Source organism: Homo sapiens, chromosome 9 (genome assembly GCF_000001405.40).
Source record: "Homo sapiens chromosome 9, GRCh38.p14 Primary Assembly".
NCBI lineage: Eukaryota > Metazoa > Chordata > Mammalia > Primates > Hominidae > Homo > Homo sapiens.
The window spans coordinates 137,867,658-137,892,768 of NC_000009.12; the positions used below are offsets into that span (position 1 = coordinate 137,867,658).

Below are 25,111 nucleotides of genomic sequence, written 5' to 3' on the forward strand. Positions count from 1 at the left end.
TGTCTTTGTTGGTTTGGTTGCTCCCCACTCCCAGTTTTTCAGGGGCCTGCATCATCCCACCAGCCACAGCGCTGTGCTCCACCGAGATATTTTCCCAGGTCATCACTCATGAAGCTCCCACCGTGTGCCAGGGACCACCGGACCTCCCAGCCAACCAGGACAGCAGCCTCTGCACCCTTTGGGTGGTGGGCAGGACAGTCCCAGATCCTCTCCTGATGCCACTTATGTTAGTCCAGGTCTTCCAAGATGCAGATGGGATAAAGGTATAAGGATTTGGTTAGATTTTATTAGATGATGAAGGCTGAGTGTGGTGGCTCGTGCCTGTAATCCCAGCACTTTGAGAGGCCAAGGTGGGCAGATCACTTGAACTCAGGAGTTCGAGGCCAGCCTGGGCAACATGGTGAAACACCGTCTCAACAAAAACAAACAAACAAAAATTAGCCTGGCATGGTGGTGTGTGCCTGTAGTCCTTGCTACCTGGGAGGCTGGAATGGGAGGGTTGCTTGAGTCCAGGAGGTGGAGGTTGCAGTGAGCCGAGATCATGCCCCTGTACTGCAGCCTAGGTGATGGGAATGAAGCCCTTTCAAAAAAAGAGAGAAGATTTTATTAGATGATGAAGATTAGATATTGTTGTTATTATTAGAGATGAAGCATGGAGGTAGCTAAGAAACTTGGAAGAGCTTCAGAATGTGAGTAGCTCTAACTTCCAGAGAGGAAGAGAGGGAACGAAGGTTGACTGGGAGTGACCTAGATCACTAAACAACCTAAGGAAGGTTCAGGAAAGCTGCCAGGGAGTTCTTGAGCCAAAGAAGTGTGGCCTCAGCACAAATGCAGAGACAGATTCTGAGCACAAGAGCTGAGGCCATTGGTCATGACATTCCCATAGTTGGAGGCCTATGAAGCACACTTTCAAGGAAACTGCAACTGTTTAAAATAACAGTAATGTCCTATGTGTGTTTTTTTTAAAAGAAAGGCTGAAAGTTAATTAGCTCATCATCCACCCGAAGAAGCAAAATCAACCTAAAACAAGAGGTATAAAGAGAAGCACTAATTAGATAGAAACTAACATGCACTGGAGACAATCAAACCAAAACTGGTTCTTTGGCAACACTAATCAGAATGGCAACCCTCTGGGCAGGTGGGGAAGGGGGAGCATAAATAAACAATTTAAAGGTAGGCCAGGTGCAGTGGCTGACACCTGTAATCCCAGCACTTTGGGAGGCTGAGGTGGGAGGATCACTTGAGCCCAGGAGTTGGAGACCAGCCTGGGCAACATAGCAAGACCCTGTCTCTGGAAAAAATTTAAAAACTAGCTGGACATGGTGGCATGCACCTGTGATCCCAGCTACTCGGGAGGCTGAGGTGGGAGGCTGGCTTGAGCCTGGGAGGTTGAGGCTGCAGTGAGCTGAGATTCTACCACTGCAGTCCAGTCTGGGTGACAGAGCAAGACCATGTCTCAATAAATAAATAAATAAATAAATAAATAAATAAAGTGGACACAGCCATAGATATAACATAGATTTAAAAGATAATATGAACAATTTTAGGCCAATACATTTCTAGAAAAATATAACTGCACTAACACTGACTCAAGAGGAAATAGAGAACCCGAATAGTCTTATAACTCTTAAAGAGATAGAATCAGTAATTAAAATCACAAACAAAACATCAGGCCCAGTCAGTGAGTTCCACTGAACTTTCAAAATATAAATTCCCTATAGAAATGCTCTCTAACTCATTTACAAGGCTAGCATAACCTGGATATCCAAACCTGATGAGAATAGTGCAGTGCACAGCTGCAAAAAGTCTAGACAAGTTATTGGTAAACCAGATCTGAATTGTACGCAAAGATGATTATGTTTGATTTACCCCAGGAATGACAGGTTGGTTTAACTTTAGGAAATCAGTTTATGTAAGCCATTCCCTTAACACATAGAAGGAGAAAAATTAGGTCATTTCAATGCAGAAAAAGCATTTGACAGAATTTATCACCTATTCGTGAGAAAAACTCCTAGAAATTAAGACTAGAGGGGAACTTTGTGACCTGATGAACGGTATCTTTTGAACAAAAAAAAAAAGAACAGGCCTGGCGCAGTGGCTCATGCCTGTAATCCCAGCACTGTGGGAGGCCAAGGTGGGCAGATCACCCTGAGGTCAGTAGTTCAAGACCAACATGGCAAAACCCCATCTCTACTAAAAATACAAAAATTAGCCAGGTGTGGTGGCACGCGCCTATAATCCCAGCTACTCAGGAGGCTGAGACAGGAGAATTGCTTGAACCTGGGAGGTGGTGGAGGTTGCAGTGAGCTGAGATAGTGCCACTGCACTTCAGCCTGGGCAACAGATCGAGATTTCGTCTAAAAAAAAAAAAAAAAAAAAAGAACATAACAGGCCGAGTGTGGTGGCTCATGCCTGTAATCCCAGCTCTTTGGGAGGTCGAGGCAGGTGGATTACTTGAGGTCAGGAGTTCGAGATCAGCCTGGCCAACATGGTGAAACCCCATCTCTACTAAAAATACAAAAAAAAAAAAAAAAGATAAGCCAGGCATGGTGGCACACACCTATAATCCCAGCTACTTGAGAGGCTGAGGCAGGAGAATTGCTTGAACTCTGGAGGTTGAGGTTGCAGTGAGCCAAGATCATGCCACTGCACTACAGCCCGGGCAACAGAGTGAGACTCTGTCTCAAAACATGAAAATAAAAATAAACAAAAGAATATAATAAACATCATATGTAAGTATGAAAGGTTGAATGTATTTTATTTAAGATGAGGAACAGGACAGGTTCCCACTATCACATTTCAGTACATCTTTGTACTTACTTGCATTGTGAGTCTCAGCTAGCACAGAAAGATAAGAAAAAGAAATAAAAGCTATAAGAATTGAAAAAGAAAAAAAGTATTGTTTTTGTATATCTATATAGAAAACAGAAATCTAACAATAAGTTATTAGACTCAATCAGGAAATTCAGAAATGTTGCTCTACATAAAATCAATTTACAAAATAACTGGGTTTCTCTTTCTTCCTCCCCTCCCCTCCCCTCCCCTCCCTCCCTTCCTTCCTTCTTTTTCTTTTTTGAGATGGAGTTTCGCTCTTGTTGCCCAGGCTGCAGTGCAGTGGCACGATCTCAGCTCACTGCAACCTCTGCCTCCCAGGTTCAAGCGATTCTCCTGCCTCAGACTCTCGAGTAGCTGGGACTACAGGCACATGCCACCATGCCTGGCTAATTTTGTATTTTTTGTAGAGATGGGGCTTCTCCATGTTGGCCAGGCTAGTCTCGAACTCCTGACCTCAGGTGATCCTCCCGCCTTGGCCTCCCAAAGTGCTGGGATTACAGGCGTGAGCCACCGCGCCCGGCCCAAAATAACTGGGTTTCTAAACGAGTGACAGAAAATGCAACTTTAAAAATGGAATCCTTCACAGTAGTGTGAAAAACATGAAACACTTAGAAATAAATAGAGTATAAATGTTCAGGACCTTGTTGGAGAATATTATAAAAGTTTATAGGATAAACTAACGATGACCCTAATAATTAATACATATGTATTGCATAAGGATTGAAAGCCTCAATACCAAAAATGTATATTTCCCCCAAATTTATCTATTGATTCTATATAATTCCTGTCAAAAGTCCACTGTGTGCATGTATATAACCTGACAAGTCGATCCTAAAAATTATAAGGGCAAATAAAGGGTCAAGAATAGCAAAAATTTGTCCAGGCGCAGTCGCTCACACCTATAATCCCAGCACTTTCGGAGGCTGAGGTGGGCGGATCACCTGAGCTCAGGAGTTCCAGACCAGCCTGGGCAACATAGCCAAGCCTTGGCTCTATAAAAAATACAAAAATTAGCTGGGCATGGTGGTGCACACCTGTGGTCCCAGCTACTCGGGAAGCTGAGGTAGGAGGATTGCTTGAGCCCGGGAGGTGGAGGCTGCAGTGAGCTGAGATTGTGCTATTGCACTCCAGCCATTGCACTCCAGCCTGGGCGACAGAGTGAGAGCCTGTCTGAAAAAAAAAAAAAAATTCAAAGAAGAACCCAGGTAGAGGCATTAACCTTTTAATAAGACTTTTGTAATCAGTGCAGGGAGTATTGGCCCAGAGCAGGTGAAGAGTTCGTCTGAGCAGAGCAGAGAGCAGACAGTTGGGGCCCTTCTGTGAATGGTGTCATGACAATTTAATTATATTAAGATGATGAAAATGGCGCCTGCCTCACATCATACAGAAAAATCATTTGCAAGTGGTTTAAAATAGAAAAAGCAAAACTGCACAAATTTTAGAAGAGAATATAGGAGAATCTATTCTCAAATCTCCCAAAGAATCTCTCACAACAATGAACAAAGGAAGAATTTCCTAGGATTCAAAAAGCACAAAACATAGGGAAAAGCTGGATATATTTCGGTTACAGTATAATGAGGAACTTCTACATATCAAAAGAATCATGAAATAAGCAAAAGACAAATCACAGAGTGAGAGAAGATACTGCAACTATACACATCTGATGGAGGATTTGTGCCCAGAACATGTAAGGACTTCGACAAGTCAATCAGAAGGAGAGACAGAATCCAGTTGAAAAGTGGGTGGAAGATTTGAACAGGCGTTTTGGCAAAGGGGAAGACGTGAATGGGCAAGGAATGTGAGAAAATGCCCTACTCCATTAGTGAGCAGGAAAAAGCAGATTAAAACAGAGTGAGGGACCTGAAATGCCTACCAGACTGACAAAAACATGAAGGCTGATAACACTAGAGTGTTGGAGACAATGCCAAGCGAGCTAGGGTCTGTGTGGTGCTGCGGGACGGTCATCGCTGCACTTCGGGCCCTAAGTTAGCAGCATCCAGTGAGGTCGAGAGGCACGTCCCATGGCCCAGCAATTTCTCTCCTCGGGTTAGACCTGCAGGCTCTTGTCCAAGCACCAGGAGAATGACATTAAATGTTCATTGGAGAATTGAAATGGCAGGAATTGGACAGCAGCACAAATCTCCGTCAAAGTAGAATGGATCAATAAATTGTCACACGACAGACTAACATATGTGGTGAAAACAAGTGATTCACAGCTACACCCAACAACACAGTGCGCTGCAGCACCACAGGACGACAGCTTAGCTCTCTTGTGTGAATTTCAAAAGCATGGGACTGGGCGAGGTGGCTCACACCTGTAATCCCCGCACTTTGGGAAGCCCAGGTGGGCGGATTGCCTAAGCTCAGGAGTTCGAGACCAGCCTGGACAACATGGTAAAACCCTGTCTTCTATGAAAATACAAAAAATTAGCCAGTTGTGGTGGCGCACTCCTATAGTCCCAGCTACTCAGAGACTGAGGCACAAGAATTGCTTACACCCAGGAGGTAGAGGTTGTAGCAAGCTGAGATGGCACCACTGCACTCCAGCATGGGCAACAGATCGAGACTTTTTATTTTTTTTAAAAAGAAATGAATTTCAAAAGCATGTACAACTGCACAATAAATTGCACGTAGATGTACAGAGAGAAAGGGAACGGTGAACACAAAATTCTGGACAGTGATGACCTCTGAGATGCGGAAGTCCGGGAGGGGCTGCACCGTGCTTGGATGCTGGGATCCTCTGTGTCTTCCACAGAGCCCTAGTGCCTGTTATTATTTGTAGAATTAAATGTTAATTATATAAAAAGAAAAAAACCCTCCTAGTTCTCCTCCCCGCTTCCCCATAAGGGGACCCAGCACACAGTGACAGAGTTGAGATCTACAGGGGACATCGCAGGAACAACTGAAGAGGTGCTGGGCTTGCAGGTGCTGTGCTGGGAGGGTGGGGTGCAGGAGCCTAGTGTGGAGGGCGGCCGGGGTGTGGCTACAACCACCACCTCCCACCGCAAGGGCTGTGACCAACTTTGGGACCCCTGGAGGAGTTTCTGGGGAACCAGAGTGACACCAGTCTGTCCAATTTGTGACCTTCCCCAGTGGCGGGAGCCTGGGTGGGTGTCTCTGGAGGTTCCAGATGGGAATTCTGCCAGGTGAGAAAGAGGGTGAGGGAGTGAGGGATGGGGGTGGGGGACAGGGGGCAGCAGAAGGACTCTGAGGTTGGAGAGGGATGGGGGAGGGGCTGTGAGCAAGTGTGCTGGAGGGTCCGGAGGAAGATGGGACCCTCGAGGGGTGACAAGCTCGCTGGTCGTTGGCTTAGACACTGCAGCAGTGCCCACCACGCAGCCTGTCCTGGACTTAGTCACCCCCAGCTCCAGACTTGTCAACTCTACACATTTCTCTTGTGGATTCTCTTCCCTATAGCCCTGGATGAGCATTTCAAACCCTCTCCTCCCTCGCCAACCTGCAAATGCCCCCTTCTCACTCTCAGTTGCTTGTTTTGTTTCTTGTTTCACTGAGAAAGTAGAATAATCACAATAAAACCCTCATCCTCCCCCAAATGAATCCTCCAGCCCACCTGTGCCTGCAATCGTGCGACCCGCTTTTCTTTCCCTGCCTCGAGTGAGCTGTCCCAAGTCTGATGCCCTCTTGCCTGGACGAGGCAAGACACTCTTTTTCTTGCATCAGCAATTTTTCTTTCTGTTGAGTCATTGCCATCACATACGAAGTCCAATAATATCCCCTACCTTAAAAAACAAACAAACAAAAAACTCCTTAATGCTGCATCTGTGTTGTTCCCTGTCTCACTGGACAAGCTGTCTACACCTGCTGTAGGGACTTCCTCACCGAACGAGCTGTCTACACCTGCTGTAGGGATTTCCTCACCAACCGAGCTGTCTACACCTCCTGTAGGGACTTCCTCACCGACCGAGCTGTCTACACCTGCTGTAGGGACTTCCTCACCGACCGAGCTGTCTACACCTGCTGTAGGGACTTCCTCACCGACCGAGCTGTCTACACCTGCTGTAGGGACTTCCTCACCGACCGAGCTGTCTACACCTGCTGTAGGGACTTCCTCACCGACCGAGCTGTCTACACCTGCTGTAGGGACTTCCTCACCGACCGAGCTGTCTACACCTGCTGTAGGGACTTCCTCACCGACCGAGCTGTCTACACCTGCTGTAGGGACTTCCTCACCGACCGAGCTGTCTACACCTGCTGTAGGCACTTCCTCACCGACCGAGCTGTCTACACCTGCTGTAGGCACTTCCTCACTGGACGAGCTGTCTACACCTGCTGTAGGCACTTCCTCACTGGACGAGCTGTCTACACCTGCTGTAGGCACTTCCTCACTGAACGAGCTGTCTACACCTGCTGTAGGGACTTCCTCACCGACCGAGCTGTCTACACCTGCTGTAGGGACTTCCTCACCGACCAAGCTGTCTACACCTGCTGTAGGGACTTCCTAACTGAACAAGCTGTCTACACCCGCAGTAGGCACTGCCTCACTGACCGAGCTGTCTACACCCGCTATAGGGACTTCCTAACTGAACAAGCTGTCTACACCCACAGTAGGCACTGCCTCACTGACCGAGCTGTCTACACCCGCTATAGACACTTCCTCACTGACCGAGCTGTCTATACCTGCTGTAGGGACTTCCTCACTGAACGAGCTGTCTACACCTGCTGTAGGCACTTCCTCACTGAATGAGCTGTCTATACCTGCTGTAGGGACTTCCTCACTGAACGAGCTGTCTACACCCGCTGTAGGGACTTCCTCACAACTCATTCTCTTCAATCCGCCCCACTCGGGCTGCTCCTCTGTGGAAACTGCTGTCCGGGTGATGGGCACCTCTGTCTTTCCACTCTGATGGCTGAATGTCGGTCCTCATCTCTATGGACTACACGCACTCCTCCCTCAGCTCCGGGACAGGGCACTCCCCCGACCCCCCACAGCCCTGGCTGCTCCTCCTCACCGGCTTCATTCTTGGGGAGTGGCAGCATCCTCTGTCTCTGACTTCGGTCGCTTCCTCGGTGGTGATGCATCAGGCAGGATGACACTTGCAAGGGACCATCTACCACAATCTGTGCGATCTGTGCAAGGCGCAGGGAAGTCCCAAGGGCCAGGATTCACCATGCCTGCGTGATGCCATCCCCCGCTGGCAGGAACAAGGGGAGGACGCAGGAACTGGAACTGGAGAGAGAGAAAGGAGAGTGGTGGGTGCCTGACAGGGCCGGAGCTTCAATTGAGGTGCACAGCCAACCCTCGGTGACCTGGCAGGAGGAAGTCAGGGGAATAGTAGACACCTTGGCCTTGCTCTTTCCTTCCCTCAAGGGCCTTTGGTGCTCCTGTTGGGCTAGCATAACCAGAAACCACAGGTCAAGGAACAGGCTGATGTGGCTTTCAAAGGCCAGCTCCAGCGTCACGCAGCACGGAGGGAAGGGCAGAGCAGATGTGGCGAGCCCAGCCTCCAGGCGCAGGGCTGCAGCAGTGGCCTCTCGTCTTGGCATCCCTCGAGAAACTCCACCCCTGCATAGCATCTCCACTTCTGTCCCCAGTAGGCAATTCTTAATTTCCACCCTGTGACTAACAAGCTCTTCCCTCTGTCTTCCCCATCTCGGCAAAGGGCATCCCCCTCGACTCAGTCACTCAGACCAAAAATGAAGAGCCTGTGTTTCTATCTCTCCTTCACATTTACACTGGACGCACTCTCTCTAAGAGAAAGAGGCACTGCTCATGGCCCCCATGTTCAAACCACATCATCTCTCTCTGTGCTGCTGTCAAAACCCCTCCCTGGGCTCTGATTTTTCTCTGTGACAGGCCAGTTGGCAGCCTCCCCGACAGCCTTAGCACCTGCTTCCCAGCTAAGCGAACCCTGATTTTGTTTGGGGCAACTATGTGCTCGCCTAGTGGGGGCTGGCCATCCTGGTCCACTTTGACACATGTTCACTTTCCCACCCTGTTAAAGTCAGGGCCGGCCACATGGCCCATGGCCTAACGGGGTTAAAGAGACACTTGCAGGGGGAGCCTCTGAGAAGCTTTTCCTTTGTTAGAAAAGAAAATCGTAACCTGATTCACAAAGTGGTCATCCTTTGTACACCTGCCACTTCCTTCCCGTTTGAGATGCTGGTGTAGCGGTGTGATGCCCTGTGCTATGACAGCCACCCTGGGGCATGAGGCAACAGGCAGGAAGGCAGAAAGTGTATGTGGGGATTTTGGAGGGAGGAGAGATGGTGGCTTCGTATTCAGTGAGATCACAATGGCATCGTGCAAGCTGCTGCTAGCTGGGAAGCGGGTTGTTCGCCTCTGAATGCATCCTAAGTGATTCAGCACCCCAGCCTCCTGCAGTCCACACTCCACACGGCAGCCCGAGGGACCCTTCAGAGGCCTACGCGCCTCTGCTCGGAACTGTGCGGACTGCCTCCCTCTCAGAAGGCGCAGCCCGCACCCGGCCTCACTCTGCACTCAGCGCCTTGCGAGCGAGCTTCAGGTCCGAGAGGGTCCCTTGTTCCCGAAGGTCTCCCCGACCCCGGGGCCGCCTTTTTGGAGGTTGTGAGGACCCACGGGCCTGCACGAAGTGAGCGCTGTGTAAATGGTTGCTGTGCTTTGTACAAAACGGTCAGCTCCGTGAGGGCAGAGCTGGGAGCCCAGGACAGGCCCGGCCCGCGGTGGGCGCTCAAGGAGGCCTGGGGAATGGCAGTGACCGTGACAGGTTCCCTAACGGGGCGTGGCCTGCAAGGCGGTCAGAGGCTTCTCTGAGCTGAGATCCCGGAGCCAGCCCCGTGCGTGGAAACAGCAGGTCCCGCACCCGGGCTGGGGGCCCCCGACAGAAGCGTCCGCGTGGCACCAAGGCCGCGAGCCGAGCGCACCCGGAGGGTTGGGAAGGCCGGGGACCCGGCGGGGACGGGGCGGGCCGGCCCAGGCCTGGCGCCCAGCTCTGGGCTGCAGCCCCAGGGCTGGTGGCGCCTCCGGGCGGAGCGAGGGGTCCGTCTGGGCCGAGTTTGAGGAGCCGAGGGCACCCAGGGGCGGTGCGGCCGGCAGAGTGGGCTCCGGGGACGGCCCGGGCTGGCGCTGAGCGGCCGTCGAGGACCCACAGGCTCGTCCGCTCCTGGGCCCGGCCCAGCCCCGGGGTGGGAGGCGCGGGGCGAGGGAGGCGCAGCCGGAGGGGCCGGGGCGGGGCGGGGGCGGCCGCGGGGCGGGGCCGGCGCGGCAGGGTGGGCGGGGCCGGCGCGGATTGGCCGGGCCCCGCCACGTGACCGGCCCCTTATAGGGCGTGGCGCGGGGCCGCGGAGTCGGGTGAGGCGGCGGCGGCTGCGGCGGTGGGGCCGGGCGAGGTCCGCTGCGGTCCCGGCGGCTCCGTGGCTGCTCCGCTCTGAGCGCCTGGCGCGCCCCGCGCCCTCCCTGCCGGGGCCGCTGGGCCGGGGATGCACGCGGGGCCCGGGAGCCATGGTCCGCTTCGGGGACGAGCTGGGCGGCCGCTATGGGGGCCCCGGCGGCGGAGAGCGGGCCCGGGGCGGCGGGGCCGGCGGGGCGGGGGGCCCGGGTCCCGGGGGGCTGCAGCCCGGCCAGCGGGTCCTCTACAAGCAATCGATCGCGCAGCGCGCGCGGACCATGGCGCTGTACAACCCCATCCCGGTCAAGCAGAACTGCTTCACCGTCAACCGCTCGCTCTTCGTCTTCAGCGAGGACAACGTCGTCCGCAAATACGCGAAGCGCATCACCGAGTGGCCATATCCTGCCGGGCGGGGCCGGGCGGGGCCGGGCGGGGACCGGGGTGGGGGCCGGGGCCGGGGCCATCTTCCCGGTGGCCGGGAGGGCGCGACCTGGGGAGGCGTCGGGAGACGGGCGAGGGGGGTACGGAGCGCCCCAGGGCCCCTCGGAGCGGCGGGTGCGGGAGCATTTCCGTGAGTGCGGCGGGCGCGGGGCGGAGCCCCTCTGCTCCGGACTCGTCCCTCCGCACGCCGGGTCCTGGGGATCCTGGTCGGTGCACAGTGCGCGGCTAGCCTGGAGGGCACCGAGGGCGAAGCCGCGTCCGTGCAGGTGCGAGCGCTGTGGGGACGCGGCCGTGCGCGCGCCTGGCTGCAGGTGCCTGCGTGTGCGGGCTGAGCTGGAGCCTGGCGCTGCGCGTGCGTGCGCTCGCGATGCGGGCTACATGCATGTTCACGTGCCTGTGTAGGTACATGTGGCTGCGTGTCTGGAGGGAGCAGCGTGCGCCTGCGCGGGGTCTCCCTCCAGCCTCGCCTGGGGGCGCTCGGCCCCCTCCCCTCGGGGCCCTGGAGTCGGGCGGAGCCGGGCCGGAGGCGCTGTCCGCGGTGCTGACGGCCGCCCGGGTGTGCCGAGGGGCTGGCGGCCCAGACTGCGGAGGCCCCGCCTCGCGGCCGCCCCTAGGGATGGGGGCAGGGAGTGAGGGAGACCAGGCCGCTTCCGCCAGGAGAGGGGCTCCGGACCCAGTTGTCTCAGCCCCTCCGGAGACGGCCTAGCGGTGGCTGCTGCACTGGGCTCTGCTGGCGTCGGCCTCGTGTTTCCCTCCGTGCGGCGTCTGCCGGCCAGTCCTTAACTCACGCACTCCATTCGAGTATATGATCCTGGCCACCATCATCGCCAACTGCATCGTGCTGGCCCTGGAGCAGCACCTCCCTGATGGGGACAAAACGCCCATGTCCGAGCGGCTGGTGAGTGCCCGGCTGGGCCTGAGGGCAGGGTGGTGGGGAGGCCGCGACTCCACTTTCCTTTATGGTCTGTGCCTGAGAACAGCTTCCTCGGGCAGGGTCGTCTGGGCAGTGCCCCTCGCGTCTGAAGGAAAAGGTAGGCCTGGCAGATAACACCTTCCTCGAGGGCCAGGGCAGCTGGGGTCACCGGCTTAGCCCTGGGCGTGGCCACGTTAGCCCTGGGCCAGTCTGCCCTGTGCCACGAGCTACTCCTGCACCTCAATGGCTGTCCTGGCTTTCGGCGCTAGACTTTGATCCAGAAAACCATGTTCTAAACTTGGGGTGGGGAAGGGGCATTCATGTCTTCGGGAAGGTCAGCTCTGAATGCCATGTGTGCCCTGCTGGGCTGAGATGGGCTTTGGCCTGGATGTGGGAACCCTGAGCCTCATCCTCCAAGTTGTCTTGTGCGGGCCTGCTTGGAACCTCTTCTCCAGTGGGCCTCACCATCCTGTGGGAAGCATTCCTTCTCAAACATTCTGAATCATTTTTACCTGTCCCCAGATTCCAGCCAAGAGGCCCCCGTGGTAGCCCCCATTGGAGCATAGAGTCTGTGTGAGTCAGGGTGCCAGGGCAAGGTCTCCGTGGCTCAACAGGAGGCAAGGTGGAAGGCCAGCCCTGTGGGGTCTCTGGAGGGGCTGGGTCAGAGGAAGGGCAGCATTTTGGAGGTGAGCAGTTTCTGAGGTCAGAGCATGTCCCCCAGCCCCCACTCTTCCCTGATGCCTGGCCCCATGTCTGGGTTCCGAGTGTGCCTAAAGACTGGAGCCTCCAGGTGAGCAGAAGGCAGAGCAAGTGGGGGCCCAGGGGGTGCGGGGCCAGAGGCGTCCAGGAGACGGCCTCTCTGGGGTGTCAGGAGCTGCTCCCTCTTCCCTTAAGCCTGGCTTCCGCCCCCACTAGCATCCTGAGACAAGAGCTATTCAGACTTTAGCCCTGAAACTGAACTCCCTTTGAACCTGGGCCACCGCAGGCCCAGGAGTGCAGAAGGGGAGACAGGGAGCCTGTCCTGGAGGTGAGGCACCAGGAGGTGAGTTATGGGTGGCCGAGGTGAGGAGGTCTTAATGGAGCACAGTCTGGAATGCCCAGTGGTCTGGGTTACGGCCGGGTGAGGAGGAGGAGCATGGACAGCCCAGCCACACCATGAGGCAGGCGTGAGTCATGGTCCCTGTGGGGGACTTGGGCAGGACCCTGGTGGGGCCCATTGCTTTCTGGAGGCTGGAGAAGAGGGTGAGCTTGAGAGGAAACAGGCAGAGAGCCTTGAATGCCAAGTCACAGGAAGGAGGGCAGGGCCAGGGTCAGAGGGACGCAGGCCCAGGAGCCAGGCCGGGGCGGGGGCAGGGAGGATCAAGCTGTCTTGCCCTGCCAGGCAGTGGGTGTCCAGCCTTGCAAGTTCCTGCCTCGCAGGTGTGGGAGGGTTTACTTTGTGGTCATAGGTTGGGGAGGACACTTCTAGGAGTGGCGAGCTAACCTGTTGGGAAAACTGCAGAACATGCCCGCCCTGAGCCAGCCTAGAGGTCTGGGGAGCTCTTGACCAGTCCCAGTCCCATGTGCAGGCCCAGCCATTGATGTCCCCTGGGATGGAGGGGAGGCTGTGCTGCTGCCCACAGAGCAGGCCGAGGCTGGGTGGTGCAGGGGCAGCCCCTCAGTTGTCTCCCAGCCTGGCCCTGGGCGAGGCCTCCCTGGTTCCCTGCCTCTCGGGGCTGTTTCCCACCTCCCCGTCGACTCTGGAGCTACCTCGAGCCAGGCCCCAGCTTGCAGTGCAACACCAAGCTGCCTGCACACCCATCCCTCCCACCTAAGCCAGCCTTCAGCCATGGGCTGGGCAGGGCAGAGCTGTGAGGAGAGGGCTCGGGCTGGGGGCTCCTTCCCAGCTGAGGGTGCTGGCTGGTCCTTCCTAGGCGTCGGGCCTGTTCTCTTTTTCACCAGGAAGTTTCCTGTGAAGATCTCTGTCTGCTGCGGCCCCACTGTTCCCCTGGGGCAGATGGTCAGCAACCCCACCCCTTGGGAAAAGGGGTCCCTCCTAAACAAATCAGACCAGAAGGCTCGAGGCCAGGAAGAGCATGGGCGAGTCAGCACGGGTCATGATGGACCCTTGGGTGCTGGTAGCTTCTACCAGGTACTGCCAGCCAAGCCTTGGGCCAGCTCCACCACAGGACAGGAGGAGCCCAGGCTGAGTAAGGTGGGAGTCAGATGCGGAGAGCCCTCGAGAGCCTGGCTTCCTGGGGAGGAAGGCACAGGCTGTGGAACTGGTGGCACTCACCTCACCTGGCAGCTCTGTGGCAGCCCAGCAGCTGCTTCTTCCTGTGACTTCCACAGTCCTGAAGACGAACCCTCAGGGGAGGCCCTTGAAGCTGGTCTCCTCTCCCCACCCCTTCACCTGCTTCCTAAGGCAGCAGCCCTGGAGTGCAGGTGTCCGACACCCCCATGCCAACCCTGCACATGCAGCTCCCTCAGCCCAGCTTCCCGGGCTTGCCTTGCACAGGGCCTTTCCCTGCCAGCCCCACGCGTGTGCTCACGAGGAGTCTTTGGGGTCTCCCTAAGCTCCACACAGCCCCATCTCCACCCTGTTTGCTGCTTCCAGCTCGGCACTGGTAGGGCCTGGCTCTGCTCTCTCATGTCCAGTAACTGTTGGCTGGAGCTCAGCCTGGGGTGCAGGAAAGGGATCTTTTTAGGATCAGCTGTCTTCATTCCTTTGGCTGCTCTGTTCCCTCCACCTGGATCCCTTTCTCAAAATCGAGCTGTGGAAGCCTTGCCTGCAGGCGCCACGCCCTCTGGGAGGCTCCCTGCGGTCTGAGCCCAGGGTGGCTCCCAGCTTCAGGCTCAGACTGTGGCTGGCTGCCTCCAGGGTCCTCACAGATGTGGCGGTCGTCGCTCAGCACACTCAGGGCTGAGGTTGTGCTTCTCATTTCTGTTGTTTTCTGCCGAGATGTGCATGTTCTGGTTACCCGGGTGCATGTTGAATGCATAAACGGGGCCTGGACTGAGTTCAAGAAAGCCTGAGCTGTATCCAGGCAACCTTGTGCAGGTTCCCACCCAGAGGCTGCTGTGGCCTCTGCCTGGCTCCTGGGCATCTCTGTGCCTCTGTCTCCCACATGTTAGAATGGGGATGACCTCATGGGGTATTAAAGGGCCACCCTAGTTGATAAAGGAAAAACTACCTGATAAGCACCCACAACTAGTACTGTTACATCACTGTCTTCCCCGAAGCAAGGCCCACTGCATGGTGCTAGCAGGGAGATTGGGGCCCCACTGTGACGTGGGCAGAAGCTGAGATGCCAGGGTGGGAGGCACGAGGGGCCTGCAGGCATGACTGGGATGTTGCTGCTGTAAACAGTGGTGTCCCCATTAGGGGACATGTGCAGACAGCAAGCAGGCTCAGTGATGGGAATGGCTCCTTGGAGAATCTGCAGGGTGTTGGGGGCAAGGTGAGGAGGGTCAGACCCTCACGATAGCTGTGGCCTGCACATGGTGGGGTGGGGTCCTCACCAACCGTCTCTGCCCGCTACTACACCGGGTAGGGGCCAGGGGTGACCACTGTTCTGCGCTTCTCCTAGGACGACACGGAGCCCTATTTCATCGGGATCTTTTGCTTCGAGGCAGGGATCAAAATCATCGCTCTGGGCTTTGTCTTCCACAAGGGCTCTTACCTGCGGAACGGCTGGAACGTCATGGACTTCGTGGTCGTCCTCACAGGGTAGGCAAGCTGAGGCCAGGAGGCCCAGCGTGTGAGGCCCGGGCGTGTGCTCTCTGAAGCTCAGTTGCGCCGTGGAGCTGGGGCAGCTGCAGTCCCCTCACTGGGGTCCCCTCACAGCCCTGCTGGAGATGAACGAATGTGAGACAGTCTGTTTGCCACCCTGTGTGCTATGGGGGTGCTTCTCCCAGGGGTGCCAGTGCTGTATTTCTCGCTGACGGATCACAGTGACCTGTCCCCAGGAGGCGCTGGCTTGCAGAGCGCACAGGCCAGGGGCCACCAGCTTCCATGGCTGGCCTGAGCCAGCATGGTGCCTGTTGGAGGTGGCTTTGCTGCCCAGGTGAGGGGCTTCCTAGCGAGGAGGAGGGCTGGACTTCTGGCCTCACCCAAGCCTGTGGTCTGGGAGGGGCACTTGGCGGTTTGAATTCTGTGCCTGCCTGAGACGCTCACCTGTGGTGTCCACCTCGCTCAGAGCCCTTGTGCTGCCTGGGATGAGGCTGTGTGTGTCGAGTGCTTTCACAGTTCCTAGTGCCAGGAAGGTGCTTCGGCAGTTTCTCCTCAACCACTTACCCTAACAACAGCTTGTGATTGCCAAAGTAACCAGCACATCTAGAAGATGGACCCAAGGGGCCTGGATGGGAGCTCAGGTCCAGTGCTCTGCACCCCACCCTCCAGGGTGTTAACTCCCCAACCTGTGCAGTGGGCACTGTGAGGTCCCCTTTCCTGCTTCCCTGACTGGCAGGCGGAAGGCTGGGCTGGGCTGCTGTGGCTCTGGTGTGGAGAGTGGTGGCTGGGGAGTGAGTGCTTGGGGAGTTGCCCCCACAGAGCCTGTTAGCACTTCAGTGTCAGAGGCCCTGTGCTGGGCCAGGGACCACTGTCTGCTCTTTCCTGAGCCTTATGGTTCCGAGGCTCAGAGCCCAGATGGAAGAGGAGGGAGCAGGCCCCACAGCAGGCGAGAGCTCTCCTTCCAGAGCCCCATCCTCACCCAGTGACTGCCCCAAGATGCCTGGTGCACAGGAGGGTATATGGAGGGGTGTTTGGGCTGGTGGCAGAGGAGGAAGGAGATGGCTGTGGAGTCCTCGAGTCTGGGGCTCATGCCTTCAAGGTTCTGTGTGTGTGAGGAAGAAGCAGTCGGCTACATGGCCTCTGGTCTCTTGGGTGAGGCCCTCAGAGGGAGCCTCGCATTGCCTGCCTGGATCCCGGGGTGCTGCCCCCATCTGCTCTGCCTGCTCCTGAGCCTGGGGCTGGCCCCTGCTGGGTGAGAGCAGCATGTACAGAACTGGGCTTGGGGGTGTCGCATGGAAGGCTCAGCCCCCAGAGCTGTCTGGGCTTGGGAGTGTCACACAGAAGGCTCAGCCCCCAGAGCTGTCTGTGATGTGCTGGGCACAGCAGCATTGAGGTGGATTCTGTGCCTTTCTGCAGCACGGCCCTGGGGTAGAATTTATGGAAGGCCCTGTGGGGGTCTGTGGCTCCACGGCCCTGGGGTAGAATTTATGGAAGGCCCTGTGGGGGTCTGTGGTTCCGCTAGCAATGCCCGTTGGGGGCTGGGGTGGGAGGTGGCTGGTGGAGAGTGTGGCCTCTCAGAGGACTGGGCGCTCCCACATCCAGTGGGCACTCCCAGAAGCAGCCCAGGAGTCATGGTAGCTGTTTACCCCTCTCTCTCCCTGTGGACCCAAGTCCCTGAGGACAACGGTGCCTTATTTTTTTCAGGAGGTCCCTAGAGCCTCACTTGGAGTGGGCACCCAGGAGGGGCAGTGTGCCTCTGCTGAAGTAATGAATTGTTGGGGTGTAAGCAGTGCTGGGGGGTGCGGGCCAGCGGGCAGCTGGGTAGAGGTGGCAGCACCCGGCCTCATGGGGCGCTGTCCATGGTGCTGAGTGTGTCGGCCCTTGAGGGCCAGGAGAGGAGGCAGGAGGAGTTGCACCAAGCCATGGGCAGGACCCCTGGATCTCCCAGCACACATAGACTGGGTCCAGGGCTGCTCCTCCTTCCCCTCCCCTTCTTCCCCCTCCCCCTCCTCTTCCCGCCTCCCTCTTCTGTTTCTCTTCATCTCTCTCCCTCTCCCTCCTCTCCCCTCTTCCCCCCCCCCCTCCTCCCACTTTGCCTGTCTAGCCCTTTGTCTCCTCTCCACGCTCTCTGTCTCTGGCCCTCTTGGTGTCTTGGTGTCTCTCTGCCTCTCCCTCTTTTCTTCTGCCCCTCTTTCCCTTGGCTTGGGCACGTCTCTGCTCGCCTGTGTCTGCAGCAGGGCCTGGGCGTTGCTGGGGTGGCTCCCAGGTTCCTCTGCCTCCACACGTCTTCCCTCCAGGCAGCCTGGGTTGTGCAGGGAACCCCGGGTTGGAGGTGATCTGTGTCCCACGGGGCCACATGCTGGCTCCAAGTCACGGGAGGGAGCCGCTTTGCTGCTCTCGTGTGGGGCACCTGGGGACACGTGAACCCCTGTGTGCGTATCTGTGTGTGGAGGGGGCTGGGTCTGCTGTGCGGCGAGTGCTGGTCCATGGGGAGCCCAGGGAGGAACCCTCACCTCACCCCTGTGAGCCAAGGGCCTGTGGGTAGTGGGCGGTATTTCTCATTAGTTTGTTGTTTTTAATTAGAGTTGATTTAATTGGTGCTCAGAGGGTTGGAGGGAGAGGCAGACACCCTGGCCTGTTGCTTGGCAAAGCCTTGAGCACCCTCAGAGGCCAGCTGGGGCCGCTCTGCTCCTGAGGCTGGTGTGGAGCTATGGAGGAGGCCCTGGGTCCATGCCTCCTGCTGCCTGGAGAGGCTCTGAGCCTCCGTGTTCTCACCTGGGAGGGAAGGCGGGCGCTCTGTCCCCTTGTCTCCGCTTTGCTTCTCTCCCAGGACTTTGGGGCACCCTTTGTTAGCCTGCGTGAGTGCGTCTGGGCTGTGGGGGGGCTGTAGTCGGCTGTAATGCTGCCGAGCTCCTGCTGCCCTGGGGAGCAGCTGTGGGGCCTGGGCTGGGGTACTGTGAGGATCATCAGAGTGTGCTTCTGAGAAACCCTAGGCCTGTGAGGGCTGCTGGCAGCTTCCTGCTCTTGTGTGTGCCCAGGGCCTCCAGGCCCTCAGTTCCCAGCCATGCTCTTGACTGGGTCAGCCCATGTGTGGCCACCTGGAACTCCTCTGACTCGCTTGGGCCGGGGTGAGGTCACAGTGGCTGGGTCCCTGCCACAGGACTCTGCCTCCTTTCCAGGAGGGCTCCTGGCGCCTGGCCGTCTCCTGTGGTCGTCTGAGTGGATCATTTGCCAAGAGAGATTCTGGGCCCAGGAGTGAGGCTTCCCTTCCCCGGCTTCCAATAACACCGTGCTACCAGGGTGGGGTCGGGGCTGAGCCGGCTCCCCACACAGAGTGGGCCTGGGGTGAGGACAGGGGTCCGGTTGTGTCTGACATGGGGGCCTCCAGCAGTTCACTCCAGCAAGAGCCCCACTGAGTGCTAGGGCGCAGCTCTTAAGGACCTCAGGCCACGGGGAGGAGGTGGGAGGAGGCGGGAAGGCCACCACTTCCCTGCCTTCGTCTGCCTTCCCGTCCATGCCCCATCCACCATCCTGCCCTCTGCTCAGCTCTCTGGCCCTGTGTCTGTCCAGCCAGGTGGGCAGCCCTGCTGCCAGCCCTCCCTCCACCTGTTCATCATTCATTCATTCAGTGTTCATGGAGCCTCTGCCAGGTGCTGAGGACTCAGGAGTGAAGGAAGACAGCTGAACCTCTGCCCGGTGGCCCATGTTCTGGGGACAAGACACCTCCCGGGCCTGGTCTCTTTGCAGCCTGGTGTGGTGCACAGCGGCATAGGCGTGCCCCAGAGAGCAGTCGGCGGGTGGACGGATGACCAGAGAGCAGTCGGCGGGTGGACGGATGAGTGGATGGTGATGAGTTGCGGCATGGGCGTGCCCCAGAGAGCAGTCGGCAGGTGGACGGATGAGTGGATGGTGATGAGTGGCGGGCTTTTTTTCCCCACATATGAAATGAGATAAAGCATGCAGGGTGCAGGCCTGGAGGTGCCACTTTGCATAGGGTCATCAGAGGAAGGACTGGAGAGCGTGAGGGGTGAGCCATCTAGCAGCCTGGGAAGAGGTATGGCTGGAGGTGGTGATTCGAGGGACATGGGTGTCCCAGTCATCTTCAGAGCTTGAGACCACCCAGGATCCCCAGGGAATGGGAAGTGTGGAGGAAGAGCTGCCCTGTGATGGAGACCAGGGCACCTGGACTTACAAGTGGCAGCTGGCGGTGAGGTTGGCGGAGCAGCGGAGGTGTGCCTGGCGTAGACGGTGTTCTAGGAAGGAAGAGCATGCAGAGGCCTCTGCAGAGGCCACGAGAGGACCCAAGGCTGTGCACTGCGCCCCGTGGGTCTGAGGCAGGAGCTGGTCCAGCCATGTGGTGGGGGTGAGGGCTTGCTGGGAATGGGAGGAGAGGGGTTGTGGTGGGCACCTGTAGGCAATGCTTGTCTTTTAGAGAGTTTTGCAGCAAAGTGAGGCAGAGTGACAGGGGCAGGGGCAGGAGGGAGATGGAGGCCAGGAGAGTTTTATGAAGTTGGGGGTTTGCAGCCCGTCCATGCCACGTGCATAGTCCAGGAGGGAAGGACAAGTGGACAGTGTGGACAGAAAGGGGACAGCCCTGGAGCCGTGAGGGAAGCAGAGTCCAGGACCTCCGGGAGTGCGGGCCTGTGCATCTGCATAGACCAGCAGATGCAGGAAGGGTGGCGTGGAAGTCCTCTAACTGTGTCCAAGTTTCCACTGAATTTGGAAGCACGTCCATCAGCCAAGGTGGGGTGCGAAGTGAGACAGAGGGAGAGGGAGCGAGTGAGTGAGTGCGTGGACTAGAAGCCCCTCCATCCGCTGCCCCAGCCTCTCACTCCCCCTGCCCCACCCTCCATCCACCCCTTCTTTGTCCCCTTGTCATCCATTCACTCATTCCTTAGGAAGGGGCTCGTCGAGCGCAGCTACTACCTCCTCGTCCCTGTTCCAGTTGCTGGGGACACAGTAGTGCACAACACAGGCCGTTCCTGCCCTCTCAGAGGCTGCGTCCTCCTGGGCGAGGCAGGCAGTGAGTGTTGCAGGGCAGTCGGGGTGTAGTGTGTCCTTCCACTGGGGTGGGGTGGCCCCTGGGGAGCAGCTCCAGCAGGGGAGAGGCTGGGAGGGTGGCGGGGGCAGGGGGGCCTTGGCTCGGGCGTTGGAGGGCTCTGAGCACAGGTGTGGCCCAATTGACTCGTGATGGGTGCTGGGGGCACAGTGTAGACGGTAGGGAAGGAGAGTGGGAGCCGGAAGCAGTGATCCAGGTGGGAGTGGTGAGGGTTTGTACCAGGGAGTGGCGCTGGAGAACGGGGCAGGTGGGCTCTGACACCCAGAAAAGGTAGAGCCCACGGGAAGCCCCGTGGTGCCTCCGGAGTCTGTCACCCATCGGCGCAGGTGCCTTTCCCCTTCCGTGCCCCAGCCAGTCTCACGTGCATCCACGCTCCCAGTCCTGTCCCCACGTCACTGCCTCTGCCCTCCCGGGCCCCTCAGGAAGCCCCTGTCAAGCCTCTGGCCCTGTGGGGCTGGTTGCACCTGGGGGTCAGGGACATGGGCAGGGCCCCCAGAACCCCAAAGCCCTGCGCGTCCCCACCCCTGTTGTGGCTCCAGCCTGGTGCTACCCTCCATGGCCCTTGGGGACATCAGAGAAACACATCCTGGCTCAGGCAGGTGGCTCTCCGGGGGAGCTTTCCAACCACGGCTTCTTGTTTTAGTCTAAATTAAACTGGGATTTCTTTCCAGGACATGTAATTAGAGCCCAGCTTTCTCCCTGGACCCGGCCTCCTGTGGGTTGAAGAGAGGGTGTGTGGGTGTGTGGCCGCTGCACCAGGAGGGAGTCTGGTCAGCGGAGCTCAGGGGCCGAGGCACTGCTGACCCTGAGCTTCCTGGGCAACCACTGTGGCCTCCTGTTCTTTTGGGCTTTGTGGACGCAGGCCGATTCAGATGGTGGCAGGCACTTCTCAGGGAGAAGCCAGGCCCAGCTCAGGGCCCCACAGAGGGTCCCCATGGGCAAGGAGGGTCCACCCAGGGGAGCAGCAGCCCATGTGCAAGTGTGCGGCTCAGGGATGACCTGACGCTGTGTCTGAAAACAGGTGACAGCCCAGAGACGCTGCCTTCCCGCAAGGCGACCTGACGCTGTGTCTGAACACAGGTGACAGCCCAGAGACGCTGCCTTCCCGCAAGGCGACCTGACGCTGTGTCTGAACACAGGTGACAGCCCAGAGACGCTGCCTTCCCACAAGGCGACCTGACACTGTGTCTGAACACAGGTGACAAGAGACACTGTGCCCGAGGGGCCAGGACACGTTGGAGCATGGACCGAGCTGGGTGTGTCCGTGCTGTGACGGAACTCTTCTGCCACAGGCTCTGCTTCAGCCTGGGGTCCTTGGACTGCAGCCCTGCGGGAGGTGCAGCACCCCGACCTCCAGTGCCGGGTCGGGCTGGGGTTTGCCAGACATTCTCTCCCTTTCCCTACCAGAGTCTGGAAATGGCCTTTGTAGGCCCTGACCCTCCCTCCCTCACCCCTAGTGTGGCTGGAACCGGTGGAGCGGGGGCTGAGTTCTGACAAGTCCCTGGAAAGCAGGGAGAGCCCCCGTGTTCTGGGGCTGGGGCTGGGATCACTCCAGGCATTGCCTGACTGGGGGCTCCACAGCCCCCCTCGTGTCAGTGAGAACCCACCAACTCCACCCCACAATGCAGGGCCCTGGCCCACGTGCAGTCCATGTGGTGTGGCTGTGAGGACCAGGTGGGGCGGTGGCGGGTGGCTGCTGATCTAGGACCCTGTGACCAAGCTCTGGTGCCCCTTCCTGACAGTGGCCTCCCATCGGGCCTCCATGTCCGTGGGGACAGGCCTGGCAGCCATGCTGGGGATGTAACAGCCTGAGAAGGTGCTGCTCTGATAGGGTGGGATCCTGGCCCCCTCTTCAGCACACGCCCCTGGCTGGGTCCTTATGGAGGGCCTGGCCCATGCCCCCGCTCTCTTTCTCTGTGTCTCCCCCCTCCCTCTCTGCCTCCTTCCTGCATTTCAGGGTTCTTAACACTCTCCTGGACTGGGGGGCAGAACTGGGCCCACTGAGAGCCCCCAGGGTCCCCTGATTCTGTGCGGGGTGAGGGTCCACACTGCCCGGGCATGAGACCTGGGGCTTGGCTGTGCTGTGCTTGGGAGGCTGACCCTGGCCTTGGGCTCCAGTCCTGTGGGGTCTTCTCTGGGGTCTCCGCGTCTCCATGTGTGCTCTGCTGCCTGAGGAGCCCAAATCCAGAGACTCCCTGGATAGAAGCAGCGCGGGGCTGGCTCACTGGATGGGCATCGGGCCAGCGTTGCAGACGTCTGGGGCCTCTCATATGCCCGCCTGGCATAGCCGACCCAAGGGAGGGTTGGCCTCTCTGCGGATCTTTCACCATGGGGACTGGAGAGCTGAAGGAGCCCAGGGCTGCCCTTGGATACCGCAGACTTTCCCAGGGGGACGGGGGACATGGGTGGGAGATAAGGAAGGGAGGTTTCAGCTCAACCCAGAGAAGGACTTTCATCATTCATGGGGGTCTGGGCTGCTGTCCTCAGGCAAGTGGGGACTGGACCAGGTGGTCTGTCCTTTACTCATATGTCCCTGATATGGGCCAGGTACTTGCTGGGCACGATGGAGCCAGGGCCCTTCCCCCCAGGGTGCGTGTTCTGCCAACGGCAAAGTCCCCATGCCACAGGATCCACTCTGTGCTCCAGGCCTCTCCTCTCGACGGTGACTGCAGGCCGGGCTCCAGGGATGGGCGGTTCTGCAGGTGTGCAGAGTCCCCCTTACGCAGGTGTGCACAGAGTCCCCCTTACACGCCTTTCTCTTCAGGGGTCCCACCAGGAGGGTCAGTCGGAGGCTTGATTTCCTGCCCCAGCAGCTGGAGGGGTGGGGGTCCAGGGAGAGTGTGGTGGGGACAGTGAGCGGCAGAGCTGGAGGCCGTGAGGCTGGGGTGAGCTGTGTGAGAAGCCTTGAAGGTCACAGTTTGGGGAGTCTCAGCCCAGGACCCAGCTCTGAGGGGACAGTTCGGGAGGGATGGGGCAGGTGGGCAGGGCGGCCTGGGGGCCTGGGACTGGCCATGCTCGTCTCTCTCCGTGGTGCTGATCTTTCCAGCTCTGCCTGTGGGTGGGGGATGGAAGGGAGGGACACAGCTGTGTGGTGTCGGGGGCACACGCCCACTCCTGGGACCATGGCTGGCCTGTGCGTGGCCAGGCAGGTTGGGCTCTCAGGGCGCATGGCTACTTTAAATTTTGGGTCTGTGGCTGTTGGGCTGATGGAGCACAGCCAGGGATCTGAGATGGGCTCTAAACTTGCTGTCAGTATTTAAGAAGGAACTTTCACGCAAAAACCTGTGTTTTCATCTTGCTTGGGAGAAGTCCCTGGAGCCCCCACTCTCTCTGGAGCAGCTGCCTCTGGATCTGGGAGGCTGGGCGGGCAGTGCCGGGCTGGCTGTAGAAGAGCCGCCCCTCCTGGGGGCTGGCCTGTTCGAAGCCGTCCGTGGCCTCCGGTCCAGGCTCGGGCTCCAGGTGCTCACTGGGGCTGCTGTGTTCCAGTGCCCTGGGGGGTCCCAGGCCTGTGGCGGCTCGCGAGGATGGCTAGGCTGGTGTGGTGCGGTGGCTGGGGGACAGGGGACCTGCATTCTGTGCAGATGCACCCACAGAGGTCACAGGGGTTCAAGTTCATACCCCGGGAGGGTGGGAGCCTTGCTCCTGTGGGCACGTGGTGGTGGACACCCCTTCCTGCTCTCCTTCTCCTCCTTCACACTGGAGCGGCAGAGTTGCAGATTCACACTGAGGTGAGGATGGTTGCTAATGGCTTCTCGGGCCCTGGACTAGAAGAGGTGAGAAGGCAGGTGCTGGCTGTGGGGCTGTAGAGTGGAGGGGCCTCCACCCTGCGTGCCTGTGTGCAGCCCCACACGTGCTGAAGCATCTCTACTCCAGCCAGACGGACGCTAACGCAGATTCATTCCTAGCAGGTCACATGGTAGCACCCCCCACCCAGTCCCTGCCCTCTTCACGACCCTGCTGTGAGCTCCTTTCTCCAGGGCTGGGCAGGCCCTTCTAGCCAATGCCACCCTCCCTGTCTCCCCTGAGAGCACAGGAGCCTGGTGAAAAGGGCCTTGCGCCTTGGTCCTCCTCACTCAGTGTGCGGCCTCTGTGTCTTCTCCACTCCCACCCCTTCTTCCCCACCAGGCTGGCCTCTCTTTGCCCTCCTCCCTCCCCGAGAAGTTTCCCTGCTGGCTCACCACAAAGCCCAGCCTCTACTGACAGGCTCATTCCCTTGAACGACTGGACACTGGTCTGCTGGGGAGGCTGGAGCAAAGCAGCACAGCCGGGCGCTGCAACAGCAGACATTTCCTTCTCAGTCCTGGAGGCTGGAGGTCCAAGATCAGGGTGTTGGCAGGATTGGTTTCTGGCGAGGCCTCTCCTCCTGGCTGGCAGATGACTGCCTTCTTGTGGTGGGCGGTGCTGATCCGATGGACCCCAGACCCTGGGGCAGGCGGGATGCAGGGCCAGGCCTGCGGGGTCCACTGTGGCCATGTGGCTGTTGCTGGTGCATCATTGCATCGTGAAATGGTTAGATGGTTTGATGTCTGCAGAATCCGCCATAGTTCTCCCCCTTTCCTCTGACTGTGGGTCCTTTCTCACGCTTCTCTGTCATCAGCCTCTGGGCCTGACAACACAGCTGCACTGGAGCCACAGGCACCCCGAAGGGGCCAAGGGTGGGACCAGGTGAGGAGGAGGGGCACTGTGAGACTGCAGGCAGGAGGGACGTCCCCCAGCACAGGGCAGCCTCCCGTCCAAGGGTGGGGGCTCCTGAGCACCACCTCCTGCTCTGCCTGCCGGTCCCACCCCAGCACCTGCTGTCTTAAAGCCTTGCTCTGGGAGTA

The 25,111-nt window shown here is 58.2% G+C and overlaps 1 protein-coding gene and 2 long non-coding RNA genes across 4 annotated transcripts in view, besides 5 other annotated features; 2 read left to right on the forward strand and 1 right to left on the reverse strand.

The window, feature by feature from the left end:
- Nucleotides 1-267: 267 nt before the first annotated feature.
- CACNA1B-AS2 (CACNA1B antisense RNA 2) lies at nucleotides 268-24,913 on the reverse strand. Its single transcript, NR_121583.1, has 4 exons — nucleotides 22,389-24,913; nucleotides 15,180-15,345; nucleotides 7,806-8,023; nucleotides 268-580 (listed from the first exon to the last, which is right to left on the reverse strand). It is a non-coding gene; the product is annotated as a CACNA1B antisense RNA 2 (long non-coding RNA).
- Nucleotides 5,884-7,083: an enhancer, noted in NCBI's record as "MED14-independent group 3 enhancer chr9:140767993-140769192 (GRCh37/hg19 assembly coordinates)". NCBI's record gives its function as "activates an origin of replication core promoter dependent on BRD2, BRD4, P300/CBP and CDK7 cofactors, and independent of MED14, by STARR-seq in HCT116 cells {active_cell/tissue: HCT116}" and the evidence as "EXISTENCE:reporter gene assay evidence [ECO:0000049][PMID:35650434]".
- CACNA1B (calcium voltage-gated channel subunit alpha1 B) overlaps nucleotides 10,125-25,111 on the forward strand; it is a 246,838-nt gene continuing 231,851 nt past the window's right edge. For both annotated transcript variants that reach the window (NM_000718.4, NM_001243812.2), the window contains exons 1-3: nucleotides 10,125-10,560; nucleotides 11,397-11,502; nucleotides 15,087-15,226. In NM_000718.4, the coding sequence (NP_000709.1) occupies nucleotides 10,277-10,560; nucleotides 11,397-11,502; nucleotides 15,087-15,226 (530 nt within the window). In that variant the 5' untranslated portion in view covers nucleotides 10,125-10,276. The remainder of the gene's footprint in view (nucleotides 10,561-11,396; nucleotides 11,503-15,086; nucleotides 15,227-25,111) is intronic.
- Nucleotides 10,318-11,233: an enhancer, noted in NCBI's record as "H3K27ac-H3K4me1 hESC enhancer chr9:140772427-140773342 (GRCh37/hg19 assembly coordinates)". NCBI's record gives its function as "activates a minimal SCP1, AML or CMV promoter by ChIP-STARR-seq in naive H9 embryonic stem cells {active_cell/tissue: H9 hESC(naive)}" and the evidence as "EXISTENCE:reporter gene assay evidence [ECO:0000049][PMID:30033119]".
- Nucleotides 13,502-14,003: an enhancer, noted in NCBI's record as "H3K4me1 hESC enhancer chr9:140775611-140776112 (GRCh37/hg19 assembly coordinates)". NCBI's record gives its function as "activates a minimal SCP1, AML or CMV promoter by ChIP-STARR-seq in primed H9 embryonic stem cells {active_cell/tissue: H9 hESC(primed)}" and the evidence as "EXISTENCE:reporter gene assay evidence [ECO:0000049][PMID:30033119]".
- Nucleotides 17,958-18,548: an enhancer, noted in NCBI's record as "H3K4me1 hESC enhancer chr9:140780067-140780657 (GRCh37/hg19 assembly coordinates)". NCBI's record gives its function as "activates a minimal SCP1, AML or CMV promoter by ChIP-STARR-seq in primed H9 embryonic stem cells {active_cell/tissue: H9 hESC(primed)}" and the evidence as "EXISTENCE:reporter gene assay evidence [ECO:0000049][PMID:30033119]".
- On the forward strand, nucleotides 20,384-23,569 carry LOC124902320 (uncharacterized). The gene is made up of 2 exons (XR_007061887.1): nucleotides 20,384-21,309; nucleotides 21,369-23,569. It is a non-coding gene; the product is annotated as an uncharacterized LOC124902320 (long non-coding RNA).
- Nucleotides 24,405-24,905: an enhancer, noted in NCBI's record as "H3K4me1 hESC enhancer chr9:140786514-140787014 (GRCh37/hg19 assembly coordinates)". NCBI's record gives its function as "activates a minimal SCP1, AML or CMV promoter by ChIP-STARR-seq in naive H9 embryonic stem cells {active_cell/tissue: H9 hESC(naive)}" and the evidence as "EXISTENCE:reporter gene assay evidence [ECO:0000049][PMID:30033119]".